This window comes from Homo sapiens, chromosome 16 (assembly GCF_000001405.40).
Source record: "Homo sapiens chromosome 16, GRCh38.p14 Primary Assembly".
NCBI classification, from domain to species: domain Eukaryota; kingdom Metazoa; phylum Chordata; class Mammalia; order Primates; family Hominidae; genus Homo; species Homo sapiens.
In genome coordinates, this window is record NC_000016.10 from 957563 (window position 1) to 975759 (window position 18197).

Sequence of the window (18197 nt, forward strand, 5' to 3'; positions counted from 1 at the left end):
CCGCCGAGGCTGACAAGCTGATTCTAGAATATACATGGGAGAGCAAAGGGATTAAAAAGCCAAAATCATCTGGAAAAGAACAGAGGTGGAGGACTCATGTTACCCAATTTCAAGACTTACTAAAAAGCTAATCAAGACCACATCAAGACAGCGCAGTATTGATTAAGGAAGAGCCGCAGAACTCAATGGAATGGAAGAGACGGCCCAGACACAGCCCCCCTGCCCCCGACCCGACACACAGAGTGAACAAATTCTGACAAAGGTTCAAAGGCAACTACACAGACAAAGAGCAGCCTTGGGCCGGGCGTGGTGGCTCACACCTGTCATCCCAGCACTTTGGGAGGCTGAGGCAGGAGGATCGCTTGAGCCCAGGAATTCCAGAGCAGCCTGGGCAACATAGTGAGACTCAGTCTCTACAAAATAAATAAAAAAACAAAGAAGAGTCTCTGTAACAATCATGTTGGAACAGATGGATGTCCACATGCAAAAAGATGGACCTGAACACACTTCACACCTTACACAAAAATTAACCAAAAAGGATCATAGACCTAAATGTAAAACATAAAAGCATAAGACTTCCAGATGGAAATATAGAAGAAAATCTATGTGACTTGGGTTTGGCAACAAGTTTTTAGATACAACACCAAAAGCATAATCTATGAAATTAGAAACTGTAAATTGAACTTTATCAAACTGAAAAACTTTTGATCTGCAAAAGCTACTTTTAACAGAATGAAAACACAAGCCGCAGATTGGAAGAAAATACTGGCAAATCACACATCTGATAAAGGATTTGTATCTAGAATATTTAAAGAACTTTTAAAATTCAATAATTAGAAAACAAACAACCCAATGTTAAAGGTGGGAAGAAAAAACCAGGCCACAAGGTCTGAACAGACATAGGAAGGTGTACGGATGGCAAATAACACGTGAAAAGATGCTCAACATCCTTCATCACTGCGGAAATGCCCATGAAAACCACAGCGTGCTGTCACCACACACACGTCACATGGCCGAAGTGCTTGAAAACGGACAGTGCCCAGGCCGGGCGCGGTGGCTCATGCCTGTAATCCCAGCGCTTTGGGAGGCCGAGGTGGGCAGATCACCTGAGGTCAGGAGTTCAAGACCAGCCTGGCCAATGTGGTGAAACCCCGTCTCTACTAAAAATACAAAAATTAGCTGGGCATAGTGGTGCACACCTGGAATCCCAGCTACTCGCAAGGCTGAGGCAGGAGAATTGCTTGAACCCAGGAGGCGGAGGTTGGAGTGAGCCGACACAGCGCCACTGCACTCCAGCCTCGGCGACAGAGTAAGACTGTCTCAAAAAAAAAACCAAAAAAACAAAACAAAAAAAACACGAACATGGACAGTGCCCAATGCTGCAGAAGGTTCGGGACAGCAGGAGTGCCCTCGCTGTGCCGGGGATGCTGTGGCCTACCACTGTGGATGGCAGACGGTGGCATCTGACCCAGATAATGAAGGGTTACCTTACAAATCAGCTACTGCACCTCTCAGGCCTTCAACCTGAAAGTGTGCTCGCACAGAAGCCTCATGCAGATGCTCATAGCAGCTCTGTTCATAGCCACTAAAAACTAGAAACAAGGAAGACATCCTTCACGGTGGAAGTGGATAAATAACCGGAGGTGCATTTGTGCAACAGAAAAATAATCAGAGATAAGAATGCAGCTGTTGGTTCAGGCAATAACATGGATGAATCTTAAGTGCATTTTGCTAAGCAAAAGAATCTAGACCCAACAGGCTATATACTGCGTGATTTCATTCGTATGTCACACTGGAAAAGGCAAAACCAGAGGGACGGGAGACAGACCCGGGCGTGCCAGGGGCTGGTGCAGGGGAAGTGGTCACTCCCATGCACGGGGGACTTGGGGCTGGAGCTGGGGTGATGGAGGCAAAGCCCACAGCACTGAGCATTACACGAGATGAACTTCAATGTGCACAAACTATTGGGGGAAGACCCGACCAGGAGGTTGGGGGATGCAGATAGAATACAGGCTCCACACGCACGGATGTGAAACAGAAACACACTGGCCAGAGGGCAGGAGCCGCCTAAGCAACTCCGGAAAATGTTCTGAGTGGAGACCGCAAGGCCAGAAGGAGCTGTACACAAACGCTGCACTCCAGGGCTTTCCCCCCCGGGCCTGGGTGGACAATTCTCGCACGTGCACCAGGGCTGAGCAGATGCTAGAGGAGTCAGGGGAGCCAGGTTCCCACTAGCAGAGAGGGAGGATTCAGATGGGCCAGCAGGGAAGACTGGAATACACCGTGTGCCAGGACGGGAGGATGGAATACACCATGTTCCAGGACGGAAGGCTGGAATACACCGTGTGCCAGGTGAGAGTCAGAGTCATCGGCATGGACCAGGTTGACCTTCGTATACTTACAGATGGATAGGTGGATACGACAGAGAAGCAATCAAATGTGTGAAATGAGATAGTGACACACAGAGCCTAGCTCTACCCAGGAAGAGGGCCAGCAGCTGTGACACCCCGGGAGCAACGGCCCTCCCAGTGCCCAGACTGAAGTTTCTATGCTCCCCTAAAAAGAACCAGGGCTCCTTGGAAACAACTCATTCTAGGGCTGGGGCAGAGAAACAGAAGCTGGGCCGGAAGCATCCCTGCGGGGAAGGAGGGGAAACCCACCAGTGGTCAAAGCTGGAGGAGCTGAGCAGCAAACTCACAGTGACAGCACTGGATCATAACCCAGACAAAGACTCACAGTGACAACACTGGATCACAACCCAGACACAGACTCACGGTGACAGCACGGGATCACGACCCAGACACAGACTCACGGTGACAGCACGGGATCACGACCCAGACACAGACTCACGGTGACAGCACGGGATCACGACCCAGACACAGACTCACGGTGACAGCACGGGATCACGACCCAGACACAGACTCACGGTGACAACACTGGATCACAACCCAGACACCATCTCATGGTGACAACACGGGATCACGACCCAGACACAGACTCACGGTGACAGCACGGGATCACGACCCAGACACAGACTCACGGTGACAACACGGGATCACGACCCAGACAGACTCACGGTGACAGCACGGGATCACGACCCAGACACAGACTCACGGTGACAGCACGGGATCACGACCCAGACACAGACTCACGGTGACAGCACGGGATCACGACCCAGACAGACTCACGGTGACAGCACGGGATCACGACCCAGACACAGACTCACGGTGACAGCACGGGATCACGACCCAGACACAGACTCACGGTGACAGCACGGGATCACGACCCAGACACAGACTCACGGTGACAACACGGGATCACGACCCAGACAGACTCACGGTGACAGCACGGGATCACGACCCAGACACAGACTCACGGTGACAGCACGGGATCACGACCCAGACACAGACTCACGGTGACAGCACGGGATCACGACCCAGACAGACTCACGGTGACAGCACGGGATCACGACCCAGACACAGACTCACGGTGACAGCACGGGATCACGACCCAGACACAGACTCACGGTGACAGCACGGGATCACGACCCAGACAGACTCACGGTGACAGCACGGGATCACGACCCAGACAGACTCACGGTGACAGCACGGGATCACGACCCAGACACAGACTCACGGTGACAGCACGGGATCACGACCCAGACACAGACTCACGGTGACAGCACGGGATCACGACCCAGACACAGACTCACGGTGACAGCACGGGATCACGACCCAGACAGACTCACGGTGACAGCACGGGATCACGACCCAGACACAGACTCACGGTGACAGCACGGGATCACGACCCAGACACAGACTCACGGTGACAGCACGGGATCACGACCCAGACACAGACTCACGGTGACAGCACGGGATCACGACCCAGACACAGACTCACGGTGACAGCACGGGATCACGACCCAGACACAGACTCACGGTGACAGCACGGGATCACGACCCAGACACAGACTCACGGTGACAGCACGGGATCACGACCCAGACAGACTCACGGTGACAGCACGGGATCACGACCCAGACACAGACTCACGGTGACAGCACGGGATCACGACCCAGACACAGACTCACGGTGACAGCACGGGATCACGACCCAGACACAGACTCACGGTGACAGCACGGGATCACGACCCAGACACAGACTCACGGTGACAGCACGGGATCACGACCCAGACACAGACTCACGGTGACAGCACGGGATCACGACCCAGACACAGACTCACGGTGACAGCACGGGATCACGACCCAGACAGACTCACGGTGACAGCACGGGATCACGACCCAGACACAGACTCACGGTGACAGCACGGGATCACGACCCAGACACAGACTCACGGTGACAGCACGGGATCACGACCCAGACACAGACTCACGGTGACAGCACGGGATCACGACCCAGACACAGACTCACGGTGACAGCACGGGATCACCACCCAGACAGACTCACGGTGACAGCACGGGATCACGACCCAGACACAGACTCACGGTGACAGCACGGGATCACGACCCAGACACAGACTCACGGTGACAGCACGGGATCACGACCCAGACACAGACTCACGGTGACAGCACGGGATCACGACCCAGACACAGACTCACGGTGACAGCACGGGATCACGACCCAGACACAGACTCACGGTGACAGCATGGGATCACGACCCAGACACAGACTCACGGTGACAGCACGGGATCACGACCCAGAGGGAAAATAAATGGGCGTGGGTCCATAGTGACAAAATCAGTGACCACAAACAAGTAAGTAACAAGATCTTCCTCACAGAGGAATTCCACATAATGTCCGCAGACACTCCCTTCAGGAGGCGGGGGCTGGACCCAGTGAGCGGCTTCCAGAGGACAGAGCGGGCGGGAAAGCAGGGACCTGTCAGAGGGCACACCTGGCAGGCAGACCTTGGCCGGGTGATCAGAAAGCCGTGCGGACGTCAGGACCCTGATACGGTGTGACGGGAAGGGCCCCGCACCTCTGTGGGCGTCTTCCCAAAACCCATCACCCAGTCTAATTGCGAGGAAACACCAGACGGACCCAACGTGAGGGACGCTCTACAGACGCCATGACAGGCCTGCTTGACACTGTCAAGGTCGGAATCCTGCACAGGAAAGTCTGGGAGACTCACAGACCAGGGAGGGAGGGAGGAGACGCCAGGACAAAACCGGGTCCCAGAACGGAACAGGCACGGGTGGAAAAGCCATAGAGTCTGCAGTTTCAGTTAATAGTTTTATTTTTAATAAAAAAATTTTAAAAAGTAAAGGTTTCTCGAAGACTCTGCACCACTCAGTGCCCGGCATGAAGCGCTGTGAGCAGCCTCCCTCCAAGGCAGTGGGAGCAGGGCCACAGGCAGAGCACCGCAGGGCCCTGGGCGACGAAAGGGTCAGGGCTGGTGACCTCTAAAGGGGCTGCGACGGCAGGTGGGTGGGGGCAGCTCCAAGTGAGGAGGAAGAGGGTGGACACAGGCGGGCACGGGATGGACACAGGGTAAACAAAGGGCAGACACAGGGCGGGACACAGACTGGACACAAGGCTGGACACAGGGTGGACATGAGGTGGGACACAGAGGGGACTCGGGGTGGGTCGCAGGGCGGGAAACAGGGCTGCAGCAGAAGGCTCCCCACACCCCTACTGCCTCCACCACTGGGTGGAAGGGACCTGAGCTGTGAGCGCTGACCTCCTAGCAACATAGAGGACACCTCGCGGTAGGCCCTCAGCCCCGGCGGCCACACGTGCAGGGACCGCACCAGCAGCTTCCACAGCTCAGGCCAGTGTGTGTGCATATGGGTATGACATGCCCATGTGTCCCTGTGTGTATGTGTCTGTACACATGTGCACATGTATACATGTGCACCTGTGCATGGATGCCCTGTGTCCATGTGTGCACGGGTGTATGCATGTCTCTGTACACGTGTGCACATGTACACATGTATGTGTGCGTGTGCAGGGATGCATGTGTGTATGTCCTGGCATGTATGCAGGTGGGAGAAACACAGGTTGTGACTGTTCAGCCACTGCACACTCCAGGGCCCAGCCTTCATTGGTGCTAGGCTGGGGCCCCTTTCCCACAGGGACCTAATTGGCGCTAGCTGAAGGGTGGATGTGCTCCACCCCTCACCACAACGCAAACTCCAGGACCACAGAGGAAAACAAGATGTGGCCTCACCAAAGCAATAGCCTAAATCAGTAATTCTAAGGCAAGAAGCATAGGATGCTTCCTGCTTATCAGGAAAAAGGAAGACAGACTGAATTGAGATTTCAGAGAGAAAAAAACTATTTCAACCTCTACTCATGTTATAAAAATAGCTACATAAAAAGATGCAGTAAAAATCTTGAAACATCACAGGCTCTCAAAACAAAACTAACCAAGCAGTCAAGCTTCGGAAGGCCCCGTCACTACCCCACACGGGAGGCAGCAGAGCCATGGCGGCCACCCGCCTCTCACAGGGACCCAGAGCCTGACCTGGGAGCTGCAACGAGGAAATACCGAGGAAATACCGTGTCGCCCGAGCAGCCAACAGCAGGCATGGCCGATAAATACTTTGTTTCAGAATCAGAAAGAAATAGCTGGGCGTGGCAGCCTGTGCCCGTAGCCCCAGCTACTCGGGAGGCTGAGGCAGGAGAATCTCTTGAAATCGGAAGGCGGAGGTTGTAGTGAGAGGAGATTGCACCACTGCACTGCAGCCTGGGCGAAAAAGTGAAACTCTGTCTCAAAAAAAAAAAAAAAAAAAGAATCAGAAAAAAAAAATCAGCTTTCTCTTTTCTCCTTTCAGATAAATTGTTGTAAGATTAAAACAGTCATCCCAGAAATGCCGTTCTCTGTTGATGGTTCTTACTGGCCGTGGTTAAATTCTGGGCCTCAGCACAGTGACCTCAAGTATTTTTTCTTTAAGGGATGTGCTGCAGAGCTCCGAAGTAGGGCAGTGCTGTTTGCTTTTTAAACAAGCAAGTATTTTATAGAAGAACTTGTAAAACCAAGTGGTGCATTTCATTAGAACTCAAGTGGCCCGGAGAAAAGAAAAAGAACTCATTTCCCATGAGCTCTTAGAGCCACTGAAAGCTCAGAACAAAACCAACTGAGCAGGGTTTCAAGTATTCTTTTTGGTTTCATTTTCTCCTCAAATTTTCTGAAGAACAGCTGAGAGTTTAGCAAATACGGGTGCAAACGATTCTGCCTGCCACGTCAACCCTGCCTCGGGTGTCATCTGACGAGGATGCCAAGCTACAAGGGCTGCGGTGAGACTCAGAGACACGCTACCAATGGCACCGCGGCCCCACCTCGCCGAAGCAGCTGCCGGGGAGACGCGATAAAACTGCCCCACGCGGAAAAGAAGGAAGGGCGGTGAGCAGGCGCACAGAACAGACGCCACAGTGCGGCACGCATGCCTCCACGCCTAAAGGACAAAACTAGCATGGAGATCCCCTAGAGGTCGGATTTTCAACATAATCTCAGTGAGCCCAGGACTCCAATGTGACAATGTGGAACTGGAAAGACGAGCAAGAAAAGCCCCTCCGTTCCCGCCAGCGTTGGGCATTCCTTCTGCAGTCCAGGCTGTCCCCGTCACTCGGGATCACAGCCAAGCGGTGGGTTCTGTGTGGTGCTTGGCTCCTAGGGCCTCGCGGAAGCCATGTTCTTCTCCATTCAGCTTCATGGAGAGACTTTCCCAGGTTTCAGCCCACGCTACGAAGCTAGACAGGAGAGTGGCCCCCACCCGCCCTGTTTGGAACCCAGCTGGGGCATGCGGTGTTTGGAACACATGGGCAGATTGGGGAGAGGCCAGAAGAGCCTCATCCAGAGCCAAGGACAAGCCTTGAGGCTGAAGAGCTCACCAAGGCCACTACAAGAGAGCAAAAAAAAGAGCCTCAGAGACTCCTCGATAAATAACCAGAACAGAGAGCAAAGGTGGAGAGCAGGAGGGCAAGGCACTGAGACTTTAGAAGCTTCCAGGGAGAAGAAGAGTCAGATGCTTGAAGATGCCTCCTCAATGCTGCAAAGCTCTGAGGGAAAGTGGCTTTGATGGAGAATTAGAGATCCGGGCAAGTTGGTCCTTTCTGGAAAAGCTGCTTGGGGATACACTCCAGCAAAAAGAGAATCCACCAGCAAACAGGAAGGCATGAGCAGCCCAGGAAGTATGAACACAACCAAGGGAGGGCTGTGGCAGTATCTGTCCTGCTGGGCCGCACCTCGGGGCTGGAGGTGGGTAGAGGGGAAAGAAGGGGTAATGGCTGGAAAAGTGTCCCATGCTGACACTAAGCCCTGGTAGAGACCACCTGCTACGGGTCAGCACATTTCACTGAGCAGGAGATGCCCCTAGAAGACAAGGGATAGAGGTATAAAGAAAGTCCTCTCCCTGACTGCAAGGAGCTAGAGGGGAGACAGGCACAAGAACAACACTGGAATGGGGACAATATCAGCCGCAAAGGAAGCAGAGAGCAGGGCTCCGGTGGTCAGCCCTGGGTGGGGTCAGGAGTCCACGAGTGATGAGGGCTAAGTCTGAAGGCCAGAAGGGTGTCGGCAGCCACGGAGAGAACAAGTACAGTTAACCCTGGGAAGGCAGAGGCCAGGTGGTCTCAGGACCACGGTCAGGAAGAGATGCCTCACGTGGCGGGGACACAGCGGGAGCAGTTCAGGCACCACGGCTCGTCCACTGGGGCCCCAGCCTCTCACTGCAAGCAGTGCAGGTGGACATCTGCCCCAGAGGCAGCAGGGAGCGTGTGTCCCAAAGCCCCCAGCACTCATGCCCTGTGCAGGCGCCGAGCAGCCGGCCCTGGCCGGGGCGGTTCCCTCCTAGGCCTGTCCAGGACTCGGCCCCCACAAACACATGGACCGACAGACGAAATCCCTCAGGAGTGTCTCTGCGCCGACGCCATGGCACCCACGAAAAGTGCCACACATAAAGTCAGTCTGCAAATGCCAACGTTACCCAGTCTTCATGTCACATTTCACCTACAGATCCCTTCCGAATTGTAACAATATCTCATAAATGTTTGAGCTTCAAAGGAAAGGTCCTTTCCGACGTTCAGATATATATACTCCGTGGCTGCCTGCGAGCCGTCTCCCAGGCGGGTGTGTCCTTGGTCCGCCTTCTGGGAAGTGTGCACAGGCAAGGAATCCCATGTCAGCCTCAGGACGGCCCAGCGGTCACTCTCACCTCATCAGTGACAGGAAGGTCTTGATGAGCAACTTGGCCAAGGCCACACAGCTAAGGTGTGGCCCACCAACCCTGAGCCCCACTACTTCCACCTGTCACAGCTTCCAGAAAGTTCTCTGCAGTGAACTGCTATCAACCCAATTCTGACCAACTGTAATTACACTGTTTCCAGATAACACCTTAATTCTGAGGCAGTTAAAATGCATTGTGTACATATACTATGTGACTCTCATCAATAGCAAACCAACGTCAGTTCAGTCCAGGAGAACCCACCCAGGGTGGGCAGCTCTAGCCTAGGGTGTCTTCAGTAGCACCTGCAAGGCTGTCCTTCCCCCGTCTTGTCAGGGAATCCAGCTCTACCACTGGCGCTGTAACAGACACAGGGCTGCTGGAAATTCCAGGAGTCCAGCCCCAGCTGCCTGTGGCCGCCCATGGACGGACCTGGCCAGGCCCCCTGGGAGGGGGATTTCAAAGCATCAAGGAGCCGGCCTGGCTGACGAGGCTCCAGACCAGCTGTTTGCCACACACGCCCCCGTACTGCAGGGTTGACCAGTGAGGGCCTCAATCTTCCGCAGGGAACGCCGGGCCACAACGTCGACGCACGACCCTGGGGGTTCCTGCCATAAAACAGTGAGGGATTCTGGCCAGGCTGCTCTGCCCTCTGTTCCGGTGAGCCTGGGCATGGTGCCCACTCTTGGGTTCGGTTTCCTTATTGCGCACACAGACAGCAGCAGGCCTGACTGCAGGAGGCACCGGCACCCATGGGCGGCCGGCACTGCCCCTACACACCAAGAACATGGCACCCAGGTCCCGCTGCTTAGGCCGGAAACTCCTGTCACATAAGCTTTTACTCGTCCAGATTTCAGCCATTCCTGGGAGTGACATCTGTGCTGAGGGGAAGCTCAGTGTCAGTGTCAGGCATCCCCGACCACCTCGGGCAGCCTCGGTCCTCCCAGGAGCCGTCACGGCCCGAGAACGCCGCTGCCCAGATGTGAACCGGGTGTCCAGGATACGCAGGCTGCACAGTGGCGTGAATGAAGGGCAGGGCTGAACTCCAGGGCCTACGGACAATCGCTGCACAGCCGGGCCAGTGGCTGACCCTGCTTCCTCGCTGTCCACTGGGGGTAGTGGCGTTGTCACCAGGAGGTCAGCACCGGGCAGGGTGCTACTTCAGCATCTGCTCAACGCAGTAATCACACTAGGGACCCGAGTCCACACGTCAGGAAGACAGGTGTGTCTTCAACTCTGAGCCCTGTGAAAATGCCGCTTTCCGCTAACACACTCCGGCTCCCACAGCACAGCAGGGCATGCCCGACACCCCAGGACGCCCGCGGTATGCACGTCTGTGTGCAGTGAGCACACCCCTAGCACCTACACACCTCGGTGGCAGCACATGGAAACGCCCAGGCCCGCGGTGGGAAGGAGCCAGCCCCAGGACGGATGCAAAGTCAGGTTGAATGCAGAGGCCTGTCGCTGGCAGCCGGCCTCTCCAGGTCTGGCTTCGAAGCTTCCCCGACAGGGCAGGCGTTTCTGTGTTCTCCTGATCTGTACATCTTTACTACATGTCTGCTGAGACAATCTGCCTAAGGGTAAGCCTCCCTCAGTTCAATGTCTTTTAACAAGGGGAGTTTCCACAGAATACATTTGGTTATGTGTTTAATTACAAGTGTTTCAATAGCTATAAACATTGTAAAATTCAGTATCAAGTGAAATATTTGGAGAGCCCCTATGGCAACTTGGAAAAACCCTGGGATTCTGAGGAACAGGGAGTAGCGCACAGTCCCAGTAAAATCCAGAACTTTCTAGAAGGAGATAAATGCAGGATGACTGCCTGCTTGCCCTGGGCCAGCTCAGCCAGAAAACCATGTCCCTGAAAGATGGGAAACTGGTTCCTTGATACAGCAGAAAAACACTGATTCTACCCCAAATGTACTCACAAGACAGAAGAACGTGCATATGTCAAGGAGAAATGTTCAATGCTGGGCACCAGGCTTAAAATATCCGCTTGACCCAGTGGCTTAAAAGCAGTTCCTTCTGAATTGAACAGAGAATCCCTGCGGAGATCAAAGGAGCCTCAGCTCGTTTGAAAGAGTCTGAGCTGGTTTTATGAAGCTGTGCTCCGGAGGCAAGGCCGCTGGGACTTCCTGCTGTATCTCGGGCTCCCCTGTGGAAGGCCTATTAGAGCCTCACAGCTTCACTTTATCTCTACTTCATCGTTTGCTAAGTGACAGCACCAACATTTAAAATGACTGTTTAATACTGTGGAGGGAAAAGCAACCTGGGAAGAACTACTTTTTAAAATAATTGCAGGCCGGGCATAGTGGCTCACGCTTGTAATCCCAGCACTTTGGGAGGCCCTGAGGTCAGAAGTTCGAGACCAGCCTGGCCAACATGGTGAAACCCTGTCTCTACTAAAAATATTTTTAAAAATTAGTCAGGCATGGTGGTGCGTGCCTATAATCCCAGCTACTCGGAAGGCTGAGGCAGGAGAATCGCTTGAACCCAGGAGACGGAGGTTGCAGTGGGCCGACATGGTGCCGTTGCGCTCCAGCCTGGGCAACAGAGTGAGACTCCGTCTCGAAAAAAATAAATAAATAAAATAAAATAGTTGCTTTAAAGAAAGAGAGAGAGAGACACAGACCCAGTTGAAGCCGATACTGCAATCCCACAGGAAACCTTGTAGTGATGAGCGCGTCTCATCACTTTGCACCAGGAGGTGGAAAGTATCACACAAATGTCACACAAAACGTCGAACTGAGCATCACTCCAGCACAACCAGGCTACCAAACTTCCCGCGACGTGTGTGGCACAAAGGCTGTGCAAAGAAGAACTTCTGCAACCTGACCCTTTCCTTCCACACGTGAGGGAAGCAGACGATGGAAGGAAAGGGAGACGTCCAATGCCCACGGCCTACAACCAACGCGTGGGCAACGCCCGGGGCCAGCAGCTCCGGAGCCCTCTGGGACGGTGACTGCCCACGCGCCCCGCTGGCTGCATCTCGGCCTGGCAGGCTCCCCTCACTTCCATACTCATTTGAGAGCCTCACTTGAGGTTCGTAGCTCCTGACACGTTGGGCTTATGAAACATGTATCCGTGTGATCACATGTCACCGTGATCACAGAACCGTTCTCTTCCAAACCAGTTCTGGGTTGTAGGGACTGGGGAGAGAGGGAGTTGGAATCGCCAGCTGCCCCTGGCCAGGGGATCCAGAGGTTTTGAGCGTGAACTGACTTTTCTCAGAGCTCTGCTCTGTAGGCTGCGCACGCGGGCCCCGCACAGCTGTGGGGTGAAGGGTCTCCGCCAGTGGACCCGGCCAACCACATCCCACAGTGAGGCGCAGGCTTCACTTGCAGATGAGGTTCCGGAGCTGCCCCCAGACCTCCGCTGGGAATCTTCCCGAACGCAGACTGAGCTAGTCGAGAACACTAAAGGAGAAACTCCAGTCTGGCCACCAGCCAGTCACCTTCCCTCAGCCCCTGGGAGACGCGAAGGAGGCTCCCGGGCCGGCTCCTCGGATTTTGGCAGGGGCCGCACGCGGCAGGGATGTGGCGTGCGGGCGTCCAGTTACAGTGGGAACCTTCACCGTCAGCACAGCGCTGTGTCGGGGACAGCAGGAGCGCCTCGCCTCTCCAGGCCGCCCCCCGCCCCGCAGCCAGGACGCAGACCCCCGACCTGCGCACGGACGGGTGACCCTCCACCTGCCCAGCTCTCCTGGGAACTCCTGGGCCAGGGCCCGGGCCGGCCCCGCCTCGCATAGCCCCGAGCCGGTCCTGGCAGGCGCGGCCGTGCAACTTCGGGGCTGCGGGTGGAACCGGGAGCCCAGGAGCCCAGGCCGGAGGCTCGAGGCGGCGACAGGGGTAGGGCCGGGTGCGCTGTCGCCAGCAAGCCTTGTCCTGCCCTGCCCGCCCCGCCTTGCCCGGGCCCCAGCAGGAAGGAGGGCTGCGTGGGGGCGCCGCGGCCGCGAGACCGCGCGGAGGAGTCTCGAGGGAGGGCGGGGGTCGTGGTGCGCGGAGGTGACACTGGCGGATGTCCCGGGCCCGCCCGGCACTCACAGTACACGAAGGCTAGGGCCTTCAGGAGCACGATCCGGGTCAGCCAGAAGGTGCCCGTGTGGAGATGGGCCGGAGAGCCTGCGGGGCCACGCCCCGGCGCGGGCGGCGACTCAGGCTCCGGATCCGAGTACCCAGTCTTCCGCCTCCTCAGCGACTCCGCGGGCGCCGCCATTGTTGGGCTGTCAGGGCGCATGTGCGGGGAGGGCGCACTCCCGGAGGCCCCGCCCATTCTCGGAGGCCCCGCCCATTCTCGGAGGCCCCGCCTCTCCCTGGCCGGCCCTGCCCACGGCCGAAGGCCCCACCCACACCCCGGGAGGCCCCGCTCACAGTCCCGGAGGCACCGCCCCCTCCAGCCGGCCCCGCCCACGCGCGGGAGCGGGTGCCCGGAGCCTGCCTCCTTCGCAGTTCTCGCTGGGCGCTGCTGCGGGTAGGGCGCGGGGCCGGGTACCTGGGAGGTGGTGCGCGTCGCCCGACCCGAGCTCACTGGGGCAGGCACGCGTGCCTTCCGTCAGTCCGAGTTGCAGAGGCCAGGTGCCCTCCCCCAGCCAGGCGCCTTCCCAGCTGTGGTCCTGGGGAAGGTGGGCTGCACAGGCCCTGGCGGTGCTACCACTGCGTGCCCCTGCCTCACAGCTGACACTCACTCTCTGCGGAGGAGGGTGCTAGGGCGATCGTCGCAGCCAGCAAGGGACAGAGTAGGCAGGGCTGTGCCTGGAATGCTCGGGGGACCCTCCCCTTTCTCCCAGCCTGAGCACCCTTCCGCCTTTGCACAACCCAGCTCCTGCCTGCCCTTGGGACTGGACTTCAAGCTGTGGGGGAAGAGGGGGACTCAGGACTCAGGAGGGAAGGGCTAACTGCCCAATGCCCCAAACAGAACATGAAGGAGGACGCCAGCACTCTACACTCTGATGACTGGAGCGGGGTTCTGGAGGCTGATGTGAAGCGGGTGCTAGGAAGGGCTGGGGTCACAGGCATTCCTTAGAGGAAAGAAAGGGCGTGAGGCTAGAGTAGGCATTGGAGACCTAGGGGTTAGTGAATAAACTGTGGGGCACTTAGGTGGAAGTGCAGATTTCTCCTTATTCATTTGTCAGCACTCTTTACGTATGAAAAATCCTGTTCTTTTGTGTATATTGGAAATATTTGTCCTGGTTTTTTGTTTTTGTTTTCATGTATTCTTCTCTTTTGCCTCTCTAGCTTTCCTAGTGTTTTGGCGTATCAATTATCGCCACTGGGTTGGTCAAATGACCCGTCTTTATTGCTTGTTTAATTACCTGTTTAATTATATCTTCACCACCTGCAGTGTGAGCCTTGTGTGGGCAGGGACTGACTGTGGACATCGGGCCCCCAAATCCAGGCCTGACCAGCAGTGGCCCGAGCTTCCTCTCAGCCTCCACCTTCCCTGTGTTGCTGGGGCCGTAGCATACGTGTACATCTTATGGTTTAATTCATTTTTAGTTTCCATTTCTTTTCTATGAAACCCCCCTTAGGAGCCCAGCTGTGAAATGGGACCCTGTTAAAGATGTTGCAACGGGTACGAACACACAAACATCCTCCGCATGCTGGCCCAGCCTCCGGGAGCGTGGTGTGTGCCTGAGGGCTCGGAGCCTTGGGGATCGCAGGAGGCATCGGCCCTGGCTGGCGCCCGGCACCCAAGTCCCTCCACAGAGCCCACGACCCGTACCTCTCCTCGTGACCTGGGGGCCAGCTTAGGAAGGGCCGGCACAGCCCACACTGTTCCCCTCATCTGTGGGGAACAGGGAGCCCCACACCCTGGGACCACGCCTGCAGAGCGGGCCCTGTCTGGGTGCCAGGCCTGCTAGGGGACGGACGGCGAGAGGGACTGCCCTGCGTCAGGTGTGGCCCTGCGCTGTCCTCAGGTGGGGCTGCCCTCACAAGGAGGCTTTGTGCACAGCTTCCCCTCGCTGGGCCGAGCTGCTCTCCCCGCGAAGGGCACAATGGGGCATTGTGCAGAGCAGAAAAGGGCCTCTTGTTCCAGCTTCCAGCGCTCCGGGCTCCGGCTCTGCATTTGCCCAGGGTGGGAGCAGTCAGCGGAAGGGTCTGCTGGGAGCTCCTGTTCTCTCTGAGCTCAAGTTTCCCTCAGGGTCTGCTCTCTTGAGACGCTGACCGCAGGGGTCCCATCCACTGCCCAGAATGGCTCCAGAGCAGGTCACCGGGGGCAGGGCTTGGGCCGGGGAGAGGTGGACCAGCAGCTCTGGTCGTGCCCATTTCAGCCTGAATTTAATCAAAAGTGCACTGGGTTATGATTCAGCCATCAAAAAGAATCCAGGAGCCGGGCGCCTGTCATCCCAGCACTTTGGGAGGCCGAGGCAGGTGGATCACCTGAGGTCAGGAGTTCAAGACCAGCCTGGCCAACATGGTGAAACCCCGCCTCTACTAAAAATACAAAAAAATTAGCCAGGTGTGGTGGCGGGCACCTGTAATCCCAGCTACTCGGGAGACTGTGACAGGAGAATCGCTTGAACCCGGGAGGTGGAGGTTGCAGTGAGCCTAGATCGCGCCACTGCACTCCAGCCTGGGCCACAGAGCGAGACTCTGTCTCACTAAAATAAAACATAAAATAAAAAGGAATCCAGTTCTGACACGTGCTACAACACAGATGAACCTCAGAACATCAAGCTCAGTGGGACAGGACAGACGCGGAGGTCATGAGTTGCGTGAGCCCATTTACATGAAATGTCCGGGGTGGGCAAAGCCACGGGGAAAGGAGGGAGCTCTGTGGTCCAGGTCTGGGGACGGGGAGTGGGGAGCCAGTGGTCCGGGGGTAGGACGTTTTCTTTTGGGCTGATGAGAATCTTCTGGAACTAGGCGATGGCTGCCCAGCACTGTGAGGTGCTAAACACCGAGTCGTTCACTGGCAAATGGCTTATTTCATGCTATGTGAATTTCGCCTCGAATTTTAGAAAAGTAAAATGAGGCCGGGCACCGGGGCTCACGCCTGTAATCCCAGCACTTTGGGAGGCCGAGGCGGGTGGATCACGAGGTCAGGAGATCGAGACCATCCTGGCTAACACGGTGAAACCCCGTCTCTACTAAAAATACAACAACAACAACAAAATTAGCCGGGCATGGTGGCGGGCGCCTGTAGTCCCAGCTACTCGGGAGGCTGAGGCAGGAGAATGACGTGAACGCGGGGGCTGGAGCTTGCAGTGAGCCGAGATCGTGCCACTGCCCTCCAGCCTGGGCGACAGAGCGAGACTCTGTCTCAAAAAAAAAAAAAAAAAGTAAAATGAAAACAAAAGACAACAGACAGCCCTGCACTGGTGTTTCAGAATCGCCCGGAAGGCGCTGTCACCTGTCGGAATACATCATGTCATTTACGCTCACCTTACTTCTTTGTCTATATTAAGGCGCATCTAGCAGTTTAAAAATAACATTTAGATACAGGTGTGTCTTATTCTCTAAGAAGGCACTTCACTTAAAAACAGGCTTCTCTGCAAACCCAGAGTGAGCTGCAGCGGCCGGGAGATCGGCCAGGTGTGGTCCTTTCACCCTGCAGCTCAGTGTCCTGTGACCACAGGCACGTGGGCCCTGCCCTGAGCGCCTCACACCAACCCGAGGCGGGAGGAGGAGGAGGGCGTCCTGAGAGTGCCCTGTCAAGCAAAAACTCTAAGAGAAAAAGCCAGGCTGACCCAGGAGAGGCCTGAGGGAGGGGAGTGGAGATGAGGCTCGGCCACCCCAGGGCTGCCCGGTGCTGGGGGAGAAGACGCTGAGAAGAGGAGGAGAATGGGGAGGAAGGGACGGACACCCCAAGAGCACGCAGGCTGAAGACTGGGCTGCCTCCCCGGAGACCGACCAGCCTGCCCTAGGTGGGACCCTGTCCCCGCCGTCCCGGCCTGCGCCAGCACAGCCCCCAGGACCCAGGCACACACAAGCCCGTGGCTGGCCACGCTCCCAGCAGCTGCGGGCCGGCTTCAGGGAGGAATGAGCCCCTGTCGGCACCTCGTCCAGCTGTCCCCCAGCACCCCGGCCTGGCAGCTCCCGCCTCCTCGGGGCCATTGTCCCTGGCATGCGGTGGCAGCTGTCTCTGGCACCCGCAGGAAGCCAGTGTGGGCCCGAAGATAATCGTGCACCCTTCATTTACCCCAATTTTTCATGTCCTGAAGTCTGGGTATGGAAGGGGGGCCCAGGACCCGTGGATGCTAACATCTGTTGCCTCCTCCTGGAAGGGTGGTCAGTTTGGGCAGATCCTGCTGTGACTGTCCAGCGGCCAACCCCCCCACCCCCCACGTGAGGCTGGCAGGTGCGGGTGGGGGCTGAGAGAGCAGGTGTTGTGCCATTTGCTGGTTGTCCTGGGACGATGACTCACAGACGGCTGTTCTGCTTGGCTCACCCTGTCCTCTCCCTGCACCCTCGGCTACAGGTCACGAGTGTTCCCACCCCTGCACCCCAGAAGGAGATGCGGCTCCATGTGACCCTGCAAGCTGGCAAGCCATGGTTTCTAGACAGTGGAAAGCACAGCTCCCAATGTGGTGGTGTTCTCCGGTTGCAGGGCCCTATGTTAGGAAACGAATGTGTAATTTTTTTTTTTTCTCTAGGAATCATATTCTGCACTGGAAGAAGCCTTGAGAGTTGCCTGGCCCAGAGGTCACAAACCAGAGCCCTGCGGGCTGAGCTCTACCCACAGTGCAGTTATCAGTCACCGTGTAGCGGTCACCGACGGCCACATTAATGCTGCGTAACAAACAGCCTCAGAGCCCACCGTTGTGTGTCGCCAGGCGGTGCTGTCCATGCCCAGGCCCCAAGAAAGGCAGGGGAAAGGCTGAGCTGGGCCTGTGCCCTCTGTCCCTTCCTATGAGCCTCTAGAGCAAAGCTTTGCTGAAGGCTGTTGTCTGAACCAAGGCCACAGAGGAAGCACGCTCCCTGCTCCCACTTTGCCCCTCGTACCCGCCTGAGGGCATCTTAATTAAGCCTTCCTTCCCCACGCTCAGAAAAATAAATACTTGGGAGACAGCAG

At 56.4% G+C, this 18197-nt stretch overlaps 1 protein-coding gene and 1 long non-coding RNA gene across 8 annotated transcripts in view, besides 4 other annotated features; one reads left to right on the forward strand and one right to left on the reverse strand.

The window, feature by feature from the left end:
- The window catches only part of LMF1 (lipase maturation factor 1), a 127980-nt gene that overhangs the window by 103929 nt on the left and 5854 nt on the right, over nucleotides 1-18197 (reverse strand). For 3 of the 7 annotated variants that reach the window (NR_147885.2, NM_022773.4, NM_001352021.2), the window contains exon 1: nucleotides 13226-13422. The exons of 3 other annotated variants lie outside the window; for them this stretch is intronic. Coding sequence is in view for 2 of the 4 variants with exons in the window: in NM_022773.4 (NP_073610.2) it covers nucleotides 13226-13418 (193 nt within the window). In the remaining 2 variants the exon portion in view is untranslated. Of the gene's footprint in view, nucleotides 1-13225; nucleotides 13438-18197 lie in introns of those variants that run through there. One more of the 7 variants, NM_001352020.1, reaches the window with a different exon arrangement.
- Nucleotides 2422-2922: an enhancer, noted in NCBI's record as "H3K4me1 hESC enhancer chr16:1009984-1010484 (GRCh37/hg19 assembly coordinates)". NCBI's record gives its function as "activates a minimal SCP1, AML or CMV promoter by ChIP-STARR-seq in primed H9 embryonic stem cells {active_cell/tissue: H9 hESC(primed)}" and the evidence as "EXISTENCE:reporter gene assay evidence [ECO:0000049][PMID:30033119]".
- Nucleotides 11627-12618: an enhancer, noted in NCBI's record as "H3K27ac-H3K4me1 hESC enhancer chr16:1019189-1020180 (GRCh37/hg19 assembly coordinates)". NCBI's record gives its function as "activates a minimal SCP1, AML or CMV promoter by ChIP-STARR-seq in naive H9 embryonic stem cells {active_cell/tissue: H9 hESC(naive)}" and the evidence as "EXISTENCE:reporter gene assay evidence [ECO:0000049][PMID:30033119]".
- Nucleotides 12664-13833: a silencer, noted in NCBI's record as "silent region_6962". NCBI's record gives its function as "represses an Ori minimal core promoter by ATAC-STARR-seq in GM12878 lymphoblastoid cells {active_cell/tissue: GM12878}" and the evidence as "EXISTENCE:reporter gene assay evidence [ECO:0000049][PMID:35858748]".
- Nucleotides 14601-15591: an enhancer, noted in NCBI's record as "H3K4me1 hESC enhancer chr16:1022163-1023153 (GRCh37/hg19 assembly coordinates)". NCBI's record gives its function as "activates a minimal SCP1, AML or CMV promoter by ChIP-STARR-seq in naive H9 embryonic stem cells {active_cell/tissue: H9 hESC(naive)}" and the evidence as "EXISTENCE:reporter gene assay evidence [ECO:0000049][PMID:30033119]".
- Nucleotides 16507-18196, forward strand: LOC124903620 (uncharacterized). The gene is made up of 2 exons (XR_007064935.1): nucleotides 16507-17049; nucleotides 17779-18196. It is a non-coding gene; the product is annotated as an uncharacterized LOC124903620 (long non-coding RNA).